Source organism: Homo sapiens, chromosome 12 (assembly GCF_000001405.40).
Source record: "Homo sapiens chromosome 12, GRCh38.p14 Primary Assembly".
In the NCBI taxonomy this organism is placed as follows: Eukaryota; Metazoa; Chordata; class Mammalia; order Primates; family Hominidae; genus Homo; species Homo sapiens.
The window spans coordinates 44,655,838-44,678,148 of NC_000012.12; the positions used below are offsets into that span (position 1 = coordinate 44,655,838).

The 22,311-nt window shown below is 37.1% G+C and overlaps 1 protein-coding gene across 6 annotated transcripts in view; it reads right to left on the reverse strand.

Annotated features, from left to right (window-relative positions):
• NELL2 (neural EGFL like 2) overlaps window positions 1-22,311 on the reverse strand; it is a 413,574-nt gene that overhangs the window by 147,563 nt on the left and 243,700 nt on the right. For all 6 annotated transcript variants that reach the window (XM_011538396.2, NM_006159.2, NM_001145110.2 and 3 more), the window contains one exon: window positions 9,647-9,772. In XM_011538396.2, coding sequence (XP_011536698.1) covers window positions 9,647-9,772 — 126 coding nt within the window. The remainder of the gene's footprint in view (window positions 1-9,646; window positions 9,773-22,311) is intronic.

Here is a 22,311-nt window from a genome sequence, read left to right on the forward strand (position 1 = left end):
AGGCATCATTTAGCTTTAGGGGGCATACTTTACATTTTAAAACCTAAAGTTGTCTGATTTTCAAGTTTTATAAAAAGGCTGATATATGCCACAATTTCCTGATAGTTTGCAATGCTGATTTCAGGAAAAGAAAATTTGAAATGGTTGTTCACAAAAATGCAAAAGTCATTTCCAATAATGATGGCAACTAGTGGCCAGATGGTAGGATTGTCTGATTGTTGACTGTGGCTCTTTCTAAAATAAATTCACACAGAAGCAGCCAGGCTCACAAAATCTGTCCTGCTTGAGAATGGCCCAGACCTGCTGATTGTTTAGAGGTGCTATTCTTTACCCCAGGAAGATTAGTATTGTGAAACCCTGAATGTTTCCATTTAGTCCCTGGGTATCACAATCTAACATTCATTCTGGAAATTCTTCCTAGGAAGTACAACAAATCCTCCAAAGGCAGGAATTTTCCAACTTCCAGAGTAACCGTACATCAAGGTTTTTAAGCCCCTATTCACAGGTACAGAAGAAGTACAGTCGAATAAACAATAACACATTGAGTCCATTGCTCCAACACAGCTATCTCATGTAAGTTTACAACTCAGTTTAAAATTAACCAGAGAAAAGTGCCCAGTTGAAAGGGTCCCAGTGAGAAATAAGACATTTCCTCAACATAAGAACTTGTCTAACCATAAGAGTCACAATAAAAACAGCTAGTGTTCATTAAACATTTCTTTTGCAGTAAGCATTTTACTAAAGGAAAAGTGTACAAGGCACTTTACAACTAAAATAACTTTGTTTAATGTTTTTGTGAAAGCTGATATGCATATTTCCACTTCTGGCTCTTTGTCATCGTCCTTCTCAATCTGTGCTTCTTGTGGCCCTATCTACTCTGTCATTGTCCCCAGTATTCTTACTTCTTTTACCATTTATATACCAGTAATTATTATGGTACATGCACACACGATAAATTATCTGTTTTGTTCTGTACTTGTGATTTTGATAAATCCATTGAAAGCTATTTTTAAATAGCTGATATGAAGGTATTGTTTGTCCATACAATAAATTTTTGCTGCAATACAAATTTTTGGGGAAGAAGAATAAAAACAATAACATTGCTGCCTTTTCAACATATCGTTTCTTTAAATCCATCAAAGAAATTACCTTTCTGGTATTATTTTAAATAAATTAAACACACAGAGCAATGTTTGAGAAAGGGGCATGCATGGGTTACAACTGACTTAAAATCTTTGCTTTAGTTGCTCAGCAGCAAATTCTTTTCTGTAACCTTTTGCACCCAAAAATAGTATCCAAGACTCTTTTAAGGCTAGAAAATCAATAGTGATGAGGAAAAGTGAAGAAAATATCATCATAAAATTCACCACTCTTTCTTCATAATTAGCAAATTAAACAAGACTGACAAACAGGACACTAGTGATAACTTCTTTAAATAAAAATATTTAACTCATTTAATATTTCACTGGAGAGAGAAAGAAAAGAGAGAGAGAGTGTGTGTGCGGATGTGCATGCATCTGTGTGGTATATGAGGTATGACTCAAAACTGAATTTTTCCTCAAATTACCAGCCGTTTATTCCACTACCATTAATTGAGATTCTTCACACATTGTCTTATGAGACCACATTTAAAAGATTTGAAATTCTTTTTTTTAAATTATACTTTAAGTTCTGGGATACATGTGCAGAACGTGCAGGTTGTCACATAGGTATACACGTGCCATGGTGGTTTGCTGCACCCATCAACCCGTCATCTACATTAGGTATTTCTCCTAATGCTATCCCTCCCCTAGTCCCCTACCCCCTAACAGGCCCTGGTGTGTGATGTTCCCCTCCCTGTGTCTATGTTTTCTCATTGTTCAACACTCACTTATGAATGAGAACATGCAGTGTTTGGTTTTCTGTTCCTGTGTTAGTTTGCTGAGAATGACGGTTTCCAGCTTCACCCATGTCCCTGCAAAGGACAGGAACTCATCCTTCTTTATGGCTGCATAGTATTCCATGATGTATATGTGCCACATTTTCTTTATCCAGTCTATCATTGATGGACATTTGGGTTGGTTCCAAGTCTTTGCTATTGTGCATAGTGCTGCAATAAACATGCGTGTGCATGTGTCTTTATAGTAGAATGATTTATAAGACTTTGGGTATATACCCAAAAATGGGATTGCTGTGCCAAATGGTATTTCTGGTTCTAGATCCTTGAGGAATCACCACACTGTCTTCCACAATGGTTGAACTAATTTACACTCCCATCAACAGTGTAAAAGTGTTCTTATTTCTCCACATCCTCTCCACCATCTGTTGTTTCCTGACTTTTTAATGATCACCATTCTAACTGGTGTGAGATGGTATCTCATCATTGTCTCAGCCCAAAATCTCTTTTAAGCTGATAAGGAACTTCAGCAAAGTCTCAGGATACAAAATCAATGTGCAAAAATCAAAAGCATTCCTATATACCAAAAATAGACAAACAGCCAAATCATGAGTGAACTCCCATTCACAATTGCTACAAAGAGAATAAAATACCTAGGAATACAACTTACAAGGGATGTGAAGGACCTCTTCAAGGAAAACTATAAACCACTGCTTAAGGAAATAAGAGGACACAACAAATGGAAAAACATTCCATGCTCATGGATAGGAAGAATCAATATCATGAAAATGGCCATACTGCCCAAAGTAATTTATAGATTCAATGCTATCTCCATCAAGCTACCATTGACTTTCTTCACAGAATTAGAAAAAACTAGTTTAAATTTCATATGGAACCAAAAAAGAGCCCACATAACCAAGACAATCCTAAGCAAAAAGGGATCACCAGGTCAGGAGATCGAGACCATCCTGCCTAACATGGTGAAACCCTGTCTCTACTAAAAATACAAAAAATTAGCTGGGTGAGGTGGCAGGCGCCTGTAGTTCCAGCTACTCAGGAGTCTGAGGCAGGAGAATGTTGTGAACCCTGGGGGCTGGAGCCTGCAGTGAGCCAAGATCGCACCACTGCACTCCAGCCTGGGCGACAGAGCAAGACTCTGTCTCCAAAAAAAAAAAAAAAAAAAAAAGAAAAGAAAAAGAACAAAGTTGGAGGCATCACACTACCTGATTTCAAACTATACTACAAGGCTACAGTAACCAAAACAGCATGATACTGGTACCAAAACAGATATATAGACCAATGGAACAGAACACAGGCCTCAGAAATAACACCACACATCTATAAACAGCTGATCTTTGACAGACCTGACAAAAACAAGCAATGGGGAAAGAATTCCCTATTTAATAAATGGTTTTGGGAAAACTGGCTAGCCATATGCAGAAAACTGAAACTGGACCCCTTCCTTACACCTGATACAAAAAGTAAGATGGATTAAAGACTTAAACATAAGACCTAAAACCATAAAATCTCTAGAAGAAAACCTAGGCAATACCATTCAGGACATAGGCATGGGCAAAGACTTCATGACTAAAACACCAAAAGCAATGGTAACAAAAGCCAAAATTGACAAATGGGGTCTAATTAAACTAAAGAGCTTCTGCACAGTGAAAGAAACTATCATCAAAGTGAACAGGCAACCTACAGAATGGGAGAAAATTTATACAATCCATCCATCTGATAAAAAGGTAATATCTAGAATCTTCAAGGAACTTAAACAAATTTAGAGTGAATAAAAGCAAACAACTCCATCAAAAAGTGGGCAAAGGATATGAACAGACACTTCTCAACAGAAGACATTCATGTGGCCAAGAAACATATGAAAAAAAGCTCATCATCTCTGGTCATTAGTGATAACTTTTTAAAAAAATTCAACATCAACCATGTTAGAGAAAAAGAATTGACCACAAAAAGATAATAAAATATAAGCACTAGGCATATTCAATGCTATAAAAAGTTAAGTACTTTCAGAAGTGAAACTCCTTGAGGAACACCAGAGGAGCCCCTTTTTTTTCAACAACAAAAACTCAAGTATCTAGTAGAACTCCTTGTGCTTAGACACTTTATAAACCTCCTATGATATGTGACATGGACCAAAGCCAGCATCAGAAGGCCCTGGGATAACAGAAGCAGTAAAAATCAGTAGAAAGTATATGGAGCATGCACCAGGATAGTGTAATTTGAGGGGCCCTAAGAAATTTTCTCTGCTGCCTCTGCTGAGGCCTGTAATTTTATCTTCGGAGAATCATTCACCTAGGTTAAGCTAAAATCCGGGTTTTGATAGAAGAAAGGAGACAGAAGAACTTAGTGGTGAGTGGGACTTAAAACAGGGTCCTTTTTGTGGCCAAAGGACAATAAAAGGACACTGGGGACCACAAGAAGTAAGAGAAGGTATCCCTATACAGGGCCTAAAGGAAATTCAAAGGGGAACAGGGAAAGTTAAAAGGAAAATATGCATCTTACAATTTTAATTGGGTGACTCTAAAGCAGGATTTCCCAACCTTGGGACTATTGACATTTTGGGCCATGTAAATCTTTTTGGAGGATGAGGACCTAGCGTCCTGTGCCAGATATCTTGTAAAGGATGAAGATTAATCACTCATCTGAAAGGTAACCAGAGAAAAATTCCCATTGATGGGGTCCCAAGGAAATAAAACATTTCCTTAAGCAGATAGCTAGCCTAATAATATTACAGGATGTTTAGTTGCATCCCTGGCCTCTACCTACCAGATCCCAGTAGTAACCGCTTCCCACATAGTTGTATAACCAAAAATATCTCCAGATATTTTCAAGTATCCTTTGTCAGGTGGGAATGCACAATTGACAACCACTACCCTAAAGGATCAATTTAATCCCTAGGCTGGGGCAAGAGAATTTTCCATCCCTTCTACCCATCCATTCTTCCCATTCTCCTATTCCCACGCTAAAGAACTACACAACATAGAGCTCATCAACACAAAAGAAGAATCAGAATTCCTTTTTTGTTGTAGTAGAGAGCAGAGAGAAATGTGAGGAAGATCTGAAATGAGTGTCTCTTCACTCAGATCTTTACTCAAAATTCTTGATTCTGTTATAGGTAGTTAGACAGGCATGAGTGGGGCAGGAGAGGGTTCTCCTCCACTCACCAGGAATGTTAGGTGATGGTTTGGCAATTATCACATTGCTTCTTTAAAAGTGATGAATTGGCAGCCAGCACTAGGGAAAGGCCATTTCCTGAGGGTCCACACGTGTCCACTAAAGCGTTAACTGAATGCAGATGCCAGGGAGAAGCAACTTCCCTGGCATGTGCATTAAGAGACAAAATGACATAGTATGACTTTCCAGGGGCATTCCAGTGGAAAAGGGAAGAAAGCCTCAGATGAGCATGCATACAACTTCCTAAATACACTGTGCATGCTCACTTCCCAAGCGTAAGGAGGGCACTGCACATGCAGGCAGCCCATCCTAAGGGAAGAATCATGGGAAAGGGGGGCAAGATGTTGGAGGTGGGCCAGCTTATACAGTCCTAGGATCAAGGTTAAACACAGCACTTGTCCTTTGGGTCACCCATCTGGGACTCTTCTTGCAAGTGTACTTTCTTTCTTGCACTAAAACTTTTTAATAAACTTCCACTCCTGCTCTGAAACTTGCCTCAGTCTCTTTTTCTGCCTTATGCCCCTCAGTCCTCAGTTGAATTCTTTCTTCTGAGGAGGTAATCAGTGAGGTTGTTGCAGACCTGTATGGATTCACCACCGGTAACTCGAATGTCTTCCACCAGTAACACAGTGACATGTGACTCAGATATTTGCCACTGGTAACAATTCCATCTTTGTTTCTAGAGATGTTTCATGCTTTTTCCATTACTCAAGGCCAGTTCCAAGAAGAGATTCCCAGTAAAACTCAAGAAGATCTACCCAATTTAATTAATGCTTACGTGAGTGAACCAAAAAAAGCCATTCGTCCATATAAGTAATCAAGAAACTTTGTTATGCATAAACAAAATAGGTTACTTTTGCAGAGATCCTGAAGAATGGGCCTCAAGCATCTTGGCTCATGTTTTCTCTTCCACTCTCTTCCCTTTTCTCTTCCCTTTTCCATTTCTTTCCTTCTCTTCCCTTCCATATTTTTCTCTTCTCTATTTCCCTCTCTCTGTTCTCCCTTCCCCCTTCCTTTCCTTTATCTTTTCTCCCTCCCTCCTGCTCCTCTCTCTCTCTGTCTTTCTTCCCTTGTGATACCCAGTATTTTTTCTATAGGAACACGAAACGATGTAAAGAGAGAAATTATGAAGCATTAATTAGAAAAAATAATAACACCTTCAATGAAAGGAAAATTATATTGAGTTTAGAAGAGCAAAAACAAATGCATCATTTGTGCAAATAGTGCAACTGAGTCATTTCCACAACTTTGGAATAGAGTCAGAGGCCCAGAAAATGGTGATTCATATTTATTCCACTAACTTCTGATTTAGGGTCATTATTATAAGATCTGTAGGGTAAAAATTTCTCTTGGAATTGAAGCTAATTAACTGAAATAACCTATAAAGACAGTAGTTTAAATAATGAACATAATGTATTGAATAGTGTGTTTCTACATAAAATATGAATCATTTCCCTTTACTTTTGTATGACTGCAAATTAGACAAACAGTGAATAGTATAAGAGTTATAATAAAGAGGTTCATATTCCAGCCCCCTTTGCTTCTCACTAGATGTTTAACTATGGATAAAGCAATCTCTCTGAGCCTCAGTTTCTTCATTTGTGAAACTTAAGGGATTTAACCAGATTATCTTTAATAATTCTTCCATCTACAAAATTTTATGAACATGAGGAAAATCTAACTCAAATCATCTGAAACTGAAAGAAAAAATATGCAATTTGACCAACTTGCATATGTAATTTGTATGCCAGAGTTACTAGGTTAAACAAATAAAGCAGAAAAAGGCTTCTTTATTGATCAAAGCTCTTGATTATTAAGTAATGTGTATTGCTCTTGGAATCTTCTTTAAATTAGAATGTCTATGATTAATTTCCACATGGGATAAGCAACTTTGAGAGTCTGCTGGGAGTATCTGTTGTTCTGTTAGCAGGGGGCTCATTAACAGGAAAGAAGGGCAGGGATACAGAAGCAAAACAAACATGGAATTCCATGAGCTCGGACACAAACATCAGGGACAGGCTCAGCAGTGATGGTTTGACATTCATTCTGGAACGTCTCCTACTACAAGTATGTGGGTGTCTGTTACTAAAATTTAGAAAAAAATAAATCTCAATATTTTATAAGATAAATAAAGTCCTACTCTGGTCTTAAGGGAGCTCTCAAAAAGGAACAGGATAGAAGACTTTGGTCACAAGGCAAAGTCCCATTAGGGGAGTAATTTCTTTAAGACTTGTGTACAGACCCTAATATCAAAGTGTGGGGGAGCCAATCCCAGGACATAAAATGAAAACATGTATTTTCTTTACAGAAACCTGGAATATGTGTTGACCTTCTAAGGCCTAACATTAAAAAAAAATAAGCTTTGGCAATATTCACCTGACTCTGGACTAAAAATAAAATCGACATATTCTCTAAAAAAAATCCAAGTTTTGTGTTCATAGACCTAGTCATAATAGAGAGAAAATTTAAGGGCAAGAAAGTTTCTCCTCTTTAAGTGGTAGCATAGAAATAGTGGTGTTAGTTGAAAATGCTAGTGCCTCATTAAAGAAATACATTTTATCATCTGCCAGATCCTGAGATTCTTGGCTCTGGTTTCTTAGGCATAAAAAAATCATAGTCTGAATAGCGTTTCTTAAAATGATTTTCTACTCCCTTCCCATTCTTACAAAGGAATAGTTCTCAATTATGTCATTAGATACTTTGAAATGGTAAGGGAAAATTCCTCCCAAGTAGTCAAAAACAAACATTAATTTGTAGGATTTTATTTGGAAGGAAAGTGCACTGGGAGAGGCGAAGCCAAAGCAGAAGACTCTCTGTAAATGTATGAAAGCTAAACTATTCCTTGGATTTATATCCAACAGACTCAGAATGGAAATGAATCTCTTAAAAATATCCTGCCCTGCAGAAATACTCCTTACTCAACAGTAGGCCAAATTATGTCCCATGTCCTTTCACTTAAAATTTCTAACACTACTTTAAGAATATAACAAAAACAAAGAGAATCATTAGGAAATATAAAAATGCACAAAGCTTTTCAAGTCTATAATACCAAAGAATCAGTGGGCTCCCCTGGAACTGCTAGCACTCATTTTTAATAAGCACACCTTGAAATATATGCATTCTAAGATGCAGCAGTTTTATCTTAGTTTTCTTGTTAAAGATGAAATGGAAATTCAGATTTATTGGTATTATCAATAGTATAGTAAATGATATATTCCTTTTATTTATTATAATTTGTTCTTTTATATTCTTTTTATGCTGAAAAGCATCTCTGTAGTCCTACGTCAAGAAACTCTTCCACTCAATGTACTTAAATTTTGTCTAAAAAAATGAAGAATTGTTTCCATAATTAGGAAATGTTTAGGATGAACTGACAAAAAAGATAGGAATTTGTAAATCCATCAGCATTTTTATATTAAATATCTTCTACCTCCAGGATATCTTCAGTTATTTTCCATAAATCGGGAAGTCACTTCTCATTCTTTTTGAATGCCATCATTTTGTTTTTATAAATACTATATTTGAATTTAGAAGAAGATCCTTCCCTGTGATAAGGCTATCAATTAGCAGACAGTATGGACACTATAATGAAGACTTAGAAGCAGACAACTAAAACAAAGACAAAGTGATACTTCTATTATAGATTCATATTTTTACTAGGGAGGATTATGGAGTCTCTTTCCCTGAAAACATCTAGGTTTTGTTTATACATGCACCTGATAAAGATCATAAAGTTGGAGCTAGAGAAATAGGTGACAAGAATAACATTTTTGGGTGCTCTCCAGTTTTATGATTCTACCTGTTTTTCTAAAATATGTTATTTTTGTTTCTTCTATTTAAAAATATAGAGATGAAAAGAAATGTTCTGTTTCACACCCACATTTCCTCAAATCCTACAGTATTCAAGCTACTCTTCTAGCATCATGTTTTGTTTTGTTTTGTTTTGTTTTGTTTTCATATTCTACAGGTAGAAAGCTATAGAATAAAAGGAATATGCTGTATTACCCCAAGCCAGGACCAACTTCAGACACTACTAACACAATATCCCTAACAAGACTTTAGATGATACTAAAAGAGTGGTATTTCATACAACAAAAATATAGAAAACTTCTTTGATGTAGTTCTCAATTGTACTTCTCAGACATGTGAAGAAGCTCATTTATATTTAATAGTCCCATGTCCTAGAACTCTAAATCTATCTCTGAAAAAAATCACATTATTTATGTTATTATTTTTCTATTCAAAAATCTATCATCATATATCATTTAGGGACTGTTTCTCAGATTGACCATAGTATTTCACACAAATTTTGAGCATAAATACTAAGTATAAATGTAGCATATACTCATTTTTTAGGATTTTTATCTTCCAAATTGGAGTATATATTTATCCAGAGCAAGCAGGTGTTTTTTTTCTTTAGAACAGATTAAGAAATAACTACCAAATCAAGAAGATATGATTTTGCTAATGTTTTGTTGTATTTATGGTATACTTATCAAAAAAATGAGAGTCAAAGAAATTTTTAAAAGTAAACTTAAGACATAAAAATATTTTATTTCACAAATAGCCACCGTTTACCTGTACATGAATAATCATCAATTCTGATGTATCCAGTTTTGCAGATGCACATAAAAGAACCCGGGGTGTTGACACACATTGTATTTTCACGACAGTAATGGCGCCCTTCAGCACACTCATCGATGTCTGTGAAGAAAAACAGGACAAAGAGGTCAACAGTGGGCAATATTCTGGAGCTCCTATATAATTTTCTTTGGTAGGGAGAGGGAAGTATTTACTAAATGAATAGCATTTCAGAAAAGCATTCATGATATCTCCTTTGCTAGGAGTGTTTAATGTTCAAATGACAAAAATCATGAGTTTTTTTCCAACAGCTCTTCTTGGAGTTTTGAAGAAGTCTGTCTATTTTAACTTCCATCATCTAAATATCTTTTGAAATTTTCAGCGCATTCATCTGCCTATGCTTGATAAAATGAATCAGAATGCAAAGACTGGGCTGCCTTAGTATCCTGCAATCTTCAATCACAGAGCCTGCCACATATTATTGTTTGATTCACCAGCTATTCTGTACAGTTGAGCAGACCCTGAAAGAGGAAAATAAAGTGTTCGATATAAACCAGAATTGTAACAACTTCACTTAAAGATATGAAGCCAATTGCACAAGCTTATTAGAGATAAAAGTAGACATATAGCTATCCCAGTAAGTATCTAAATACAGATAAAGTTACAATAGAGACCTGATATAGATGAGAAGTTACAAAATAGTAAAATAAGATATTATATTAAAGATCTTACATGGTAATTCACACACTGAGTTTTGAGTATGTATAATGACTTCTGGATGCTAACCCATAAGAAGCACTGCTACTCATTGTGAAGAATGTGAATTTTCACATTCACATTTCACAATGAAACTGTCCTCATTTAATAGCATCTCTCTGCATAGAACATAAATCATTTTACAAGTATTTAAGGACCTTAATGCATTGGTCAGACAAGGAATTTCCCATCCAGAAGTCTGCATTCTCATATCCTTCTAATGATTCCACAAAGTAGCACTGAATTCATTTATACTGTTAAGAGAAATGGATCAACTATAAGAGATAGCTAGGTGATACACCACTACAGGGGCCATGTCATTTGTGTAAGCCCAACTATGTTCCCCGCCCTGAGAATGTCAAAAGAAATAATTGACATAATCTCAGGAATCTATATTTTAGAACTGTAGGGTTCTTATCATTCATCTGAGCTAACTATTTATTTTATAGAGGGACAAAACTGAGTCCTAGAGAAACTCAATTTTCTATTCAATTCCATGGACAGCATAATAAATTCCAAACCTCTTATCTGAGCCTACAAAATGTTTCCTGGTTTGGTCTTTACTTTTCCAATTTCACATCTGATGACCTCACTCCCTTCTCCCCTCTCAGTGTTCTGGCCACATAGTTTCTAACCTACCTGCTCTTTCTTACCTATCATCCTTTATACATACTGTTCTCTCTACTTATAACTGCTATACCTTCTCTCCCTGACACCATCCCAGTGGATCTTGTTTACCGGTAGATTAATCCCTCAAGAATCTATTTAAATGTCCCTCCTACAAAAACTTCCCTAATGAACTAAAATACTCCCAACGCAGTGCTACCTCAGGATTTTGTAAATGTTTCCATTATAGATGCATCAATTGTATTTTTATTAATTTTTATAAATTTCTTTCTCCCAAACAAATCACATATTCCTCAATGGTATAAATTATCTATTAGTGTTTCTTAACTTTGTCCATCATATTCATCTGGGATGTTAAAAAACAAAAACAAAAAAACACTAGTTCTTGGGCCAATTGCCAAAAACCCATTCCAAATTCTAATTTACTTGTTTGTGGTGGAACACATGCAATGATTTTTTTAAAAAAATCTTCTCCATGATGAGTGTAATACAGGGGTCAGGAAAATAAAAACTCTGTAAAGGGACAGATAGTAAATTTTCTAGACTTTGGAAGTCATGGGCAACACGTAAATTAATGAACTTGGCAGTGTTGGAATAAAAGTTCATTTACAAAAATGGATGGTGAGCCAGCCAGATTCGGCTCAGCTCACAGGTCATAAGTTGATGACTTCTGACGTAAGGCATAACCAAGTTTAACAATCACCACTAAGTAGGGTGAGGATTCAAGATGTTTACTAGAGGAGCCTGGTACTCATCTCCTCGACAGACAAGGATCATAACAGCGAGTAGATAGCCACATGTCAAATTGAGTTTCTAACAGATAACTCTGAAATTCAGCAGGAAAGTGTCAGAGAACCTCTGAGGCATGGGAGAGAGAAGTGAAGCAGTTGGCCCAGGCAAGATCAGCTCAAAGCCAGGAGGAACTATCTATTGTGAGGAAAGGTAAGTGAAAGATCTGCAGAGGTCCACATTCCTACCACAGACTCATATAATCCTAGCCACAAAAGAGACCCTGGGCCCTCACAGGCCCTGAGCCTAGCATAGGAAACTGCCTAGAATCCATAGGATGGCATTGTTCCGGAAAGGGAGTTCACATAGGGTCCTACAAACCCTCCTGAGACCAAAGCAACTACAGCATGGTGCAGTTTTGAGAGGCCATCCCTCAAAAGACAACATCCTGTCCTGAGGCCCAAAAGCCCCTGCTTTTCTACATCCCTAGAGCACCATGGCATCCCTTCACATCCATCCAGAGGGCTATGCTGCCATAATACCAGCTGGACCCATCAGTGCAAGCGGGTCCCCAGCACTCTAGTCCACACAATGTCCTACACACTGGGGAATAGATGATGCAACACACTGAGGAAGCAACCCCTGGGACAAAGGAAGCCAAAGCGTACCCTCCCTAGAAACTGAGAGCCGCCTGCCCAGGGTCACTGCCAATGACAACGATCCTGCCCTCTCCAGCAGCAGGGCTACCATGTACCCATACTTGCCTTTAGGAGACCTCAGGACTGGCCATGTGCCCTCCTGGGGGCTGAGGATAGGCTTGTCCCACCCAATGCCCCTGCCATCAGCACCCAAATGCTTTATCCAGGGACCTGAGGATTGATCCATCCTACCTACCACAGCCAGGGCCCAGGTGCACCATCATGGTTCTTGAGAGACCTGTCTCTCCTGCTGCCACCACTGCTGGTGCCCACGTGCACTATCACAATCTGGACATCATCCCACACTGCCCACTTATGCTGGCCAGGAGCCTGGGTATAGGCCCGCCATGCCTGCTGCCACTGGAATACACGCACACTATCCAGGGACATTAAGGACAGGCCTACCCCACCCACCATCACTACTCACATGTACCTCTTAGGGAACCCAGAAACCAGCATGCCCAACCCACTGCCACCACCGTTAGTACCTGGGCATGTGGCTCAGAGACCTGAGGGTTGGAAAACTGCCACTAGTGCCACCATCAGTGTCACAAATGCTGTCTAAGTGATCAAGGACCCACTCAGTTGGCCCACCACTGCAACTACCAGAACCTGAGCACACCACCCAGAGGCCCAAGAACAGGCCCACCCATATCTGCCACTGCTGGTGCCCATGAAGGCCACTGAGGGCCCAAGGACTAGCCACACCCAGCCCACCAATGCACCACTGGTGCCCAGGGACCAGCCCACCTAGGATTCCCATTCCCAGCAAAGCATCACCAAAGCCTCCACTAACAATCACAGCTTAAGTCACTGAGGAACTCATAGATACCAATGATACTAATTATAGCCCGATAAATCATACAGACTACAATATTGTGCCTACCCAGAATCAAAGCAAAAGCATCTTACTAAACCAACAATACGTACACATCTATAGAAAAAAGTCTTTCCCTACTAAAGCCAAACCATAAAATTGGAAGGAGAGGCTGTTACACCACATGCACAGATATCAACATAAAGACATAAGAAACATGAAAAAACAAAGAAACATGACATCTCCAAAGGAACATCATAATTATCAAGTAACAGATCCCAACATAAAGGAAATCTATAAAATGTCTAAAAAGGAATTCAAAAGAAAGACATTAGAGAAACTCAGTGAAATACAAGCAAACACAGATAAACAATACAAAGAAATCAGGGAAACAAGTCATTATTTGAATAAGAAATTCAACAGAGATAGATGCCATAAAAAGAAAAAACCAGAAATCCTAAAAGGCAATGACTGAAAGAATAAAATAAAAAATGTAATAGCTTCAACAATAGACTAGATCAAGGAGAAGAAGAAAGAATTTCTGAACTTAAAGACAGGGCTTTTGAAATAACTCAGTCAGACCAAAAATCAAAAGAAATAAAACAGAATAAGAAGAATAAAATGAAATGAAGAAAGCCTAGGTGTCCTATAGGAAACTATATAGTAACTAAAATTTGAATTTTGGGAGTTCCAGAAGGAGAAGAGATGAACAAATGCATCAAAAACTTATTTAACAAACAACAGCTGAAAGATTCCCAACTCTAAACATCCAGATACATGAAGCTCAAAGATTCCCAGATAGCTGTAATTCAACAAGGTCTTATTCAAGGCACGTTATAGTAAAACTGTCAAAAGTCAAAGACAAACAGCAAGAACAAAGCATCAAGTCACATATAAAAGAATCCCTATCAGACTACCTTGATTTCTCAGCAGAAAATTAGAGGCCTGGAGAGAAGGGAGTGATGTATTCAAAGTGCTGAAAGAGAAAAACAACAACAACTGGTAGCCAAGAATACTATACCCAGAAAAGCTATCCCTCAAAAATGAAGGGTAAAGAAATTCTTTCTCAGATGAGAAAATAATGAAATAATTCATCATCGTTATACCAGCCCTACAAAAAATGTTTAAGGTAATCCTATATCTGAAAGTGAAAGAAAGATATCTACCATCATGAAAACACAAGAAAGTATAAAACTCACTGGTAGAGCAGATATACAAATAAGAAAGAGAAAGGAGTCAAATATTATCACTATAAAAAAACCCCATCAAATTGTAAAGTAAACAACAGAAGAGGAAGAAAGAATATGTAGAACAATCAGAAAATAATTAACAATATGACAGAAATCCCCACCTATTAATAAAAACCTTGAAAGTAAATGGCTTAAATTCATCAATTAAAAGATATAAAACAGCTGAATGTATTAAAAAACAAGATGCAAGTACAAGAAACCTATTTCATCTATAAAGATACACATAGACTAAAAGAGAAGGGACGAAAAAAAATCCATGCAAATGAAAACCAAAAGTGTGAAGGAGTAGCTATGTTTATATCAGAAATTGACTTCAAGTTAAAAAACATAAAAAGGGCCAAAGTAGGTCAATATAGATGACAAAGGAATCAATTCAGTAGGAAGATACAACAATTGTAATTGTATACGCACCTAACACAAGAGCACCCAGTTATATAAAGAAAATACTATTATAGCTAAAGAGAGAGACCCCAATATAACAATAGCTGTGAACTTCAACACCCTCGTTTTAGCACTGGGCAGATCATATAGACAGAAAATCAACAAAGAAAGATCAGACTTAATCTGCACTACATACTACATGGAGTTAACATTTACAGAAAATTTTACCCAATAGTTGCAGAATAAATATTCCTCTACCGATACATGGAAAGTTCTCCAGGATAGAACACGTTAGGCCACAAAACAGGTCTCCAAAAGTTTTAAAAATTGAAACCATATCAAGTGTCTGCTCAGAACACAATGGAATTAAACTAGAAATCAATAACAACAGAAATTCTAGAAATTGTACAAATACATGGAAATTAAGCAACATGTTCCTGAGCAACCACTGGGCCAATATAGAAATTACGAAGACAATAAAAAGTTCTCTCTAAGCAAATGAAAATGAAAGCACAACACAGCAAAACCTAAAGGATACTGTAAAAACAGCGCTAAGAGGGAAACTTATAGTAATAAATGCCTACATCAAAAAGTAGAAATATTTCAAATAAACAATATAGCAATGCACCTCAAGGAACTGCAAAAGTGAGAACAAACCAAACCCAAATTAGTAGAAGAAAAGAAATGACAAAGATCAGACCAGAAATAAAACAGAGACTATCAGACAATACAAAGAATTAACAAAATGAAATGTTGGCTTTTTAAAAAGATAAAATAAATTATTACATAGAATAACAAAGAATAAAAGAGAGAAGACCAGATAAACAAAAATGGGGACCATGTAACTGATACCACAGAAATAGAAAGGATCATAAAAGACTATTATGAATTGCTGCATGTTAATAAATTTAAAAACTTAGAGGAAATGGATAAATTCCTGGACACATACAACCTACCAAGACTGAACCAGAAAGAAATAAAAAACCTGAACAGATCAATAGCAAGTAACAAGACTGGATCGGGAATAAAAAGTCTCCCAACAGAGAAAATCCAAAGACAAAATGGCTTTACTGCTTAATTAGACCCAGACCCTCTGAAAGCCATAGTAGGAGTCCCCTGGGCTTAAGCTTGTGAGCTAGAGAGGGTCCCATCAACAAGTCCATGTGCACAAAGATATGAACAATTTACCCATGGGGATGAAAGAGCCAATTATAAGAAACAATTCAGTGAAAACACCCTGGTTATCAGAGAGAGGAATTATTTTGATCACACTGTGGCATTTCCTCAAACAAAAGTGGTTCCTGGTGAGAGATGATAGTTCCTGGTACAGATAGGAAAGCAGCTTCAGTGTCTAGAACAGGACAGTGAGTCCCAGCTGGAGCAAACGTTAATTACATTAGGCAACATAACTCTCTCCAAAGACAAAATAATATCCCATAGAACAGGGGTCCCCAACCCCGGGATGGCGAACCAGTACCAGTCCCTGATTTGCTAGGAAGTGGGCCGCACAGCAGGAAGTGAGTGGCAGGTGAGTACTACTGTCTGAGCTCCTTCTCCTGTCAGAGCAGAGGTGGCATTAGATTCTTATAGGAGTGCAACCCCTATTGTGAACTGTTCATGTGAGGGATCTAGGTTGTGTGCTCCTTATAAGAATCTGACTAATGCCTGATGATCTGAGGTATAACAGTTTCATCCCGAAACCATCCCCAGAGCCCTCACCCCTGGTTCCGTGGAAAAATTGTGTTCCACAAAACCAGTCCCTGGAGGCAAAAAGACTGGGGACTACTACCATAGATGTAGCCTACCCCAGCAGAAGTAGCTATCAAACTTTGTTAATTGAACTCATAAGTATGTGTGAAATACCTCAGATATCTCCCAAGAATACTTAAGAGATGGGAACTTTGATGGCACTAAAGTTCTGTGAGAGAGGTGGGGAAAAGAGCCAGTGAATTAGAATTATTTCTGTTAATGTGACCCTATTTACAGCCACAATGGTGGATAATTTTATTTATAAACATAAATGGAGATGATTGTGCAAGAGTAAATTGGCCTTCTAAAAACTGTCTCTCAATGTTCAGTGTTGGGTCTACATCCCAGAGGCTTAGGAGACAGTGACTTGTCCAATCTTCTTTTATAGATGTTTCCCTTTTAAGCTATCATAGGGTCAGAGAAAACTCCACGTAGGATCATAAAGCAAAAACAAAAAGGCTATTGAATATGAAACCTTTTACGAACTCAATGATTTGGATCTCATAGACATATAAGATTCATGACCAAGAGATCTAAAGTGTCAGCCTATTACTTGGAGTAGTGTTGTGAGACAGAGCGAAGTAAAAATAGCAAAAAATACCACCATAACTCTGTAGATCTAATTGCCGCTTGCCTTTTTTGATTTCTCACGCCCTGTCTGCAGAGGAAGAACTCCCCAAAGAGTTGCGTTTATGTACTGAAATTGCAAAGTTACATAAAAGTCATTTCCATTTACATGTACAGATATTTACAGGCATAAAAATGGCATGACTAAAAAGTAATCTGGTGGAAAATCATGTCAAATTTAGTCCAGGGTGTATTTTAGTTCCAAATCCCAATTCAAAAACCTAATATAAGTCAAATTCTCACAATTCATTTTCAATTCTCTACACATTCACTGAGTATATTCTATGTACAAAGGCATTTTATTGGATTTTCTGATGGCCCTATGGGGTAGAACCACAGCGACAAGTGGATAGTATCAGGGGTAGGTTTTGACTTATTATGACTTTCTACTAAGCAGAAAGAACTGCACAGGTTTTGATTAGGCTGCCAAGTAGAAATATTCTGACATAAGCTGGTTATGTTGTAGAGAATTAAACAAAGAGTGCCCCACTGGGCCACATGGACCTTCGCATCCCATCCAAAATTTATTACAGAGTTAAGGGATAGACCCTGCCTTAAAAGGGCTTACAATCCAGGAAATGGATGATGATCATTATCACTGTCAACCAGTTAGCTGCCTTCTATATTTGAAGCCAGCATTTCACAAGCAGCATTGCTTAAAGAGCAATATCTCTAATAGAGGTTCATGGTTCCTTGAAAACAAAATATTACATGGTCAAATAAGTTTCAAGACCACTATATTACTATAGTTCTTCCTAGTTGCCTTCTAAACACTCATAATGTACATAAGCTAATTATGAGCTCTGAGACACTTTAAAAAAAAAAACTTCATTCATTTACTCAACGAGTATATAATGGACATGCACTATGTTCCAAGTACTGCATTAGGTGACAAAGATAAATTCTAGCTGGAGAAAATAACATATACATGATAACATTATAAAGTGATGCATACTATATAACAGAAACATATACATTGTGCATTGAATAGGGAGCAACAGACTTTTTTTAAAACACAGTGCTTATTTGTTCTGAGAACCCATTAATGCAGAACACATTTGGGAATTTATATCTGGTGATATAAATAATTTTCTGACTCTGCCCCCTCCTACCAACTTGAGAAGCTGATAGCGAAATTAAAAATCCAAGATATATTTACATGAATAACAACATGAGTTCCTACATTGTAAGTGCCAAAAAACCCACACACATACACACACAAATCCTACAGGGACTGATATTCAGAGAAAGGTTAATGACTAAGAGTAGAGATATCCAGGGAAAATATAACGGTGTGGCAGGGCTTCAGGTGGATTTTGAAGAAATCCCCTTCACTTATAATGTAAGACCTCATGTTATTTTGCTGCAGAAGGAGCAAAAACATGAAATGTTCAGGAACAATAAATAATCCATTTAATTAGCATTTGTGCAGGAAAATAATGGAAATACAATTATGGGAAAGGGGACATAATGTGAATGTATTTAAATGACCAACAAATACGAGGACAGCACTGTCTTTGTAGTGATATAAAGACATTAAAGCATTTGGAAGAAGCGGGTAGGGAGGAGGTATAGGTATATCTTATGAGAGTTGGTAAAATGGCATAACTGAGGAATTGGTAAGAAGTGCATTCAAGGTAAGAAGACCTTTTATGAATTAATAAAAGTCCGAGTCTTAAGTGGTTACTAATCTTAAGTAATCTACCCAGTCCAAATTTCTTCATATGGTATCTTCATTGGTATCTGAAAGTATTTTATTAAGTTTTTTTTAATATATCTGCTAGCTATGTCCTTTGGAATATAAGATTCAAGAGGGTAGAGAGCTTGTCCACAACAAAGGCTGGCCCTGAATAAATATCTGTTGAATGAATCAGTGAATCTTTTTATGGCTTTTCCTTTAAAAGGACAAAGGGGAAAGTGTCCTCATTTACAATGGTCTGATGTGAAGCTCAACGTGGCAGAGTGAATTCATTGTCTTCTGAGCACACTGCCTGGGCATTTACTTAGACATGGGCTTTTGTATGAATAGCAAATACAAGCCATCCTGGTGAAACAGTCTTGCATAGTAAAGGAAAAGTGGGGTGAGAATAAAGAAGCCTGAACTCTGGACCTGCATTTATTACAAACCTGACAAGCATTTAGTCCCTTCAGACCTTAATTTCATCATTAAAAGATAATTTTCAAGTCACTACTAGCCACAAAACTTTGCAATTCCAACAAAGGGAACGTCATCTATGTGGCTGCAGTGGTTTCTGATTCTCCAGGATTTTGTAAGCTATACAGTCATATTCTACCACATTTAAAAAGCAAAAGTAAACAGTGTTTCTTATACTTGAACAGCTTCTCTTGCCCCAGGATAATTCAAGCTGGTCTATTTTAGAAACTAGAATTTATACATTTATAAATTCCCTTTTATCCTATTTGAAAGATGAGGCCAACTTTGTAATTATTCGGAATCATAGATTTTTAGATCTGAGAGGAACTTTAGAAATCATCTAACCCCAGTAATTTAGAATTGAAGAAACAGAGGCACAGAGAAGCCAGAAACAAATTAAAGAGGAGGCAGGTATGGGATCACAAAGCTTTTGTGAGCCATATTAAAGAATTTGGACTTCATCCTATGTAAAATGGGAAAGGTTTTAAGAGGTGATTAACTGAATCAGATCTGTGTTTTTGGAAGATCCCTCTAGGACAGGCTTATATAGTTAATGAGTGGCAGCCATAACAAGAGCAACATTTCTAGACCCCAGGTTTAAAATTAGTCTATGGACTCAACGTCCAGACGAGTCTCAGAGGCAGTGAGCACTCAGGCATGACACTCCCTTTCCTGCCACATTATACCTAGGATGTCACTGGTGCTGTTTTGTTTTTTAAAGTATAGTGTATTTCCAAAGCTACATTTATCTTGATTATATCCTGTAAAAAGATTATATTAGTATGTTAATGAACACTAATGCCTTCTTGATCACCCAATAAAATCTTGAAGTCATGCAGCTCAATTGCAAAGACTCCACATATTGAAAAATAATACAGATCAATATGGGTTATTGCTAAGTCTTGACTCACCAGCTGTGAAATACTGGCTGGCAAAGTTGGCAAAGATATCAATAAAATAATTCACAAACTAGGATAAAGACTAAGTTCTAAGAAATGTAATTCTGGAAAGAGATTTGAGAGTAACATTTGGGAAGATAAGAATTTTTTTAAATATAAAATTTCTAAGTTTAAGTAGGCTGCTCAGTGAAATACCAGTAAAGAATAAATTAAAATATCATTTACAAATAAGCTAACACTGAAAGGAACTGCCAGCTATCATATGCTTTAAAGTCAGTGGCATTAATGAGTTTGTTTACCATATATTAATTTCTATGTATTAAAAACTGTATTCATCTGAATGTATGATTGAAGGATAAGACTGAAACATATGATTTTCTTGACATCTCAAAATAATGGCCACAAATTTGCTTCATTCATTTTGTAATTTCATTCATTGTAAATTGTATGGTACATTCCTCAAAAAGAGTGAAAGCTCTGGCATTATATCAGCTTTCTTGCTAGTCTTGATAGAATATATTATTCTTAGCTTTGGGATTCCTGAATTAAAAAAAATAGAGACATGCACTAGGAAAATCTCAGACAGGGTTGAGAGTGTATCATAAATAACACACATGGAGAAAAATGAGAGAATGTGGAATGTGGGGAACAAAGGCATGTGTAGATTTGTCCATATAATAGTTTCTGACTTCCTACTATGTCCAAGGTACTATAATAACTTAGATACCAACAGCATAGCCTGAATGAAACAGATGCAGTATCTGTCTTTGCAGAGCTTAGGATCTGACAAAAGAGACAACTAGTAATTTTAAAAAATGGAATGGGAGTTTGAGAAGGACAGCGCCATCTGGAAAGCAAAGTGAGGGCTCCAAACCCAGTCTTACAAACAGGGAGAAATTAACATCTAAGCATAGGACTAAAGGAAAAGTAGCCAGGTGAGATGCAATAAAAGAGCATTTCAAACAAGGAGACTATATGCGAAGAATGTTGGAAATTAAGAGAATTTGGTATGCTTGAAGGATAGCAAAGTACTCAATGCACCTAATGAAGTACGCAGGAGCTGCATTTGTGTGGAGGTCTTACACACTATATGAGAGTTTGACATTATCATATAATCAATGGTAATCACTGAAGTTTTTTAAATTATTCTAAAACATGTCATATATACACATGCTGTAAAATGTAAAAGATGCAGTAGAGTGTACCATGAAAGTAAATCTGAGTCATAGTCACTCAGTTCTCCCACTCCTAATCCCTGAGACAACCACTGGTATCAATTTCTTCTGCAATTTCCAGACATATTCTATGCCTATTTAAGCATACACATAGGGGCATATGTGTTTGTGCTTTTCCTCTGAAGGGTGTTCAGCAGGGACATGAGATGTTATTATTGCTAAACAATATCTTTATAAATGCATGGTAGAGGATAAATTAGAGAAGAGTAAAACTGGAAGCTAGGAGGAAGCTCACTTGATACTAGTTTCAGTTCTTGTAACTATGACTGCAGAACATGAAAGGAGTGAGGCAGATTAAAAAAAATACATGGGATCTAATATTGCTTGCACTCTGGCACTGACTGGATGTCTGAAGATTAGGGAGGGATGCTCTCAAAGATAATATCCTTCTTTTTTAACTAAACAACTGGGTGGGTCCATAGTGTAGGGAACTGGAGGACTGCAATTGAGCTACAGAGAAGCATAGTTTTAAACAGGTTGAATTTGAGATGCTTATGACACATCCAGATAAAAATGTCCCAGAGGCAGTGAGATATGTGGGTCTAGAGCTTACTCAGGAAACAGCACTGGGCTAGAGATCAAGATTTGAGAGTCATAGGCACAAAGAATGTAATTAAAGCCATGGTGTTAGACAGTATCACACAGGTAGAGGATGTAGAATGAGCAGAAAACAATTAAAATGGATACCTGGGGGACTTGGACATTTAAGTGACAAGTAAAGAAAGCAGGTGGAGAAAAA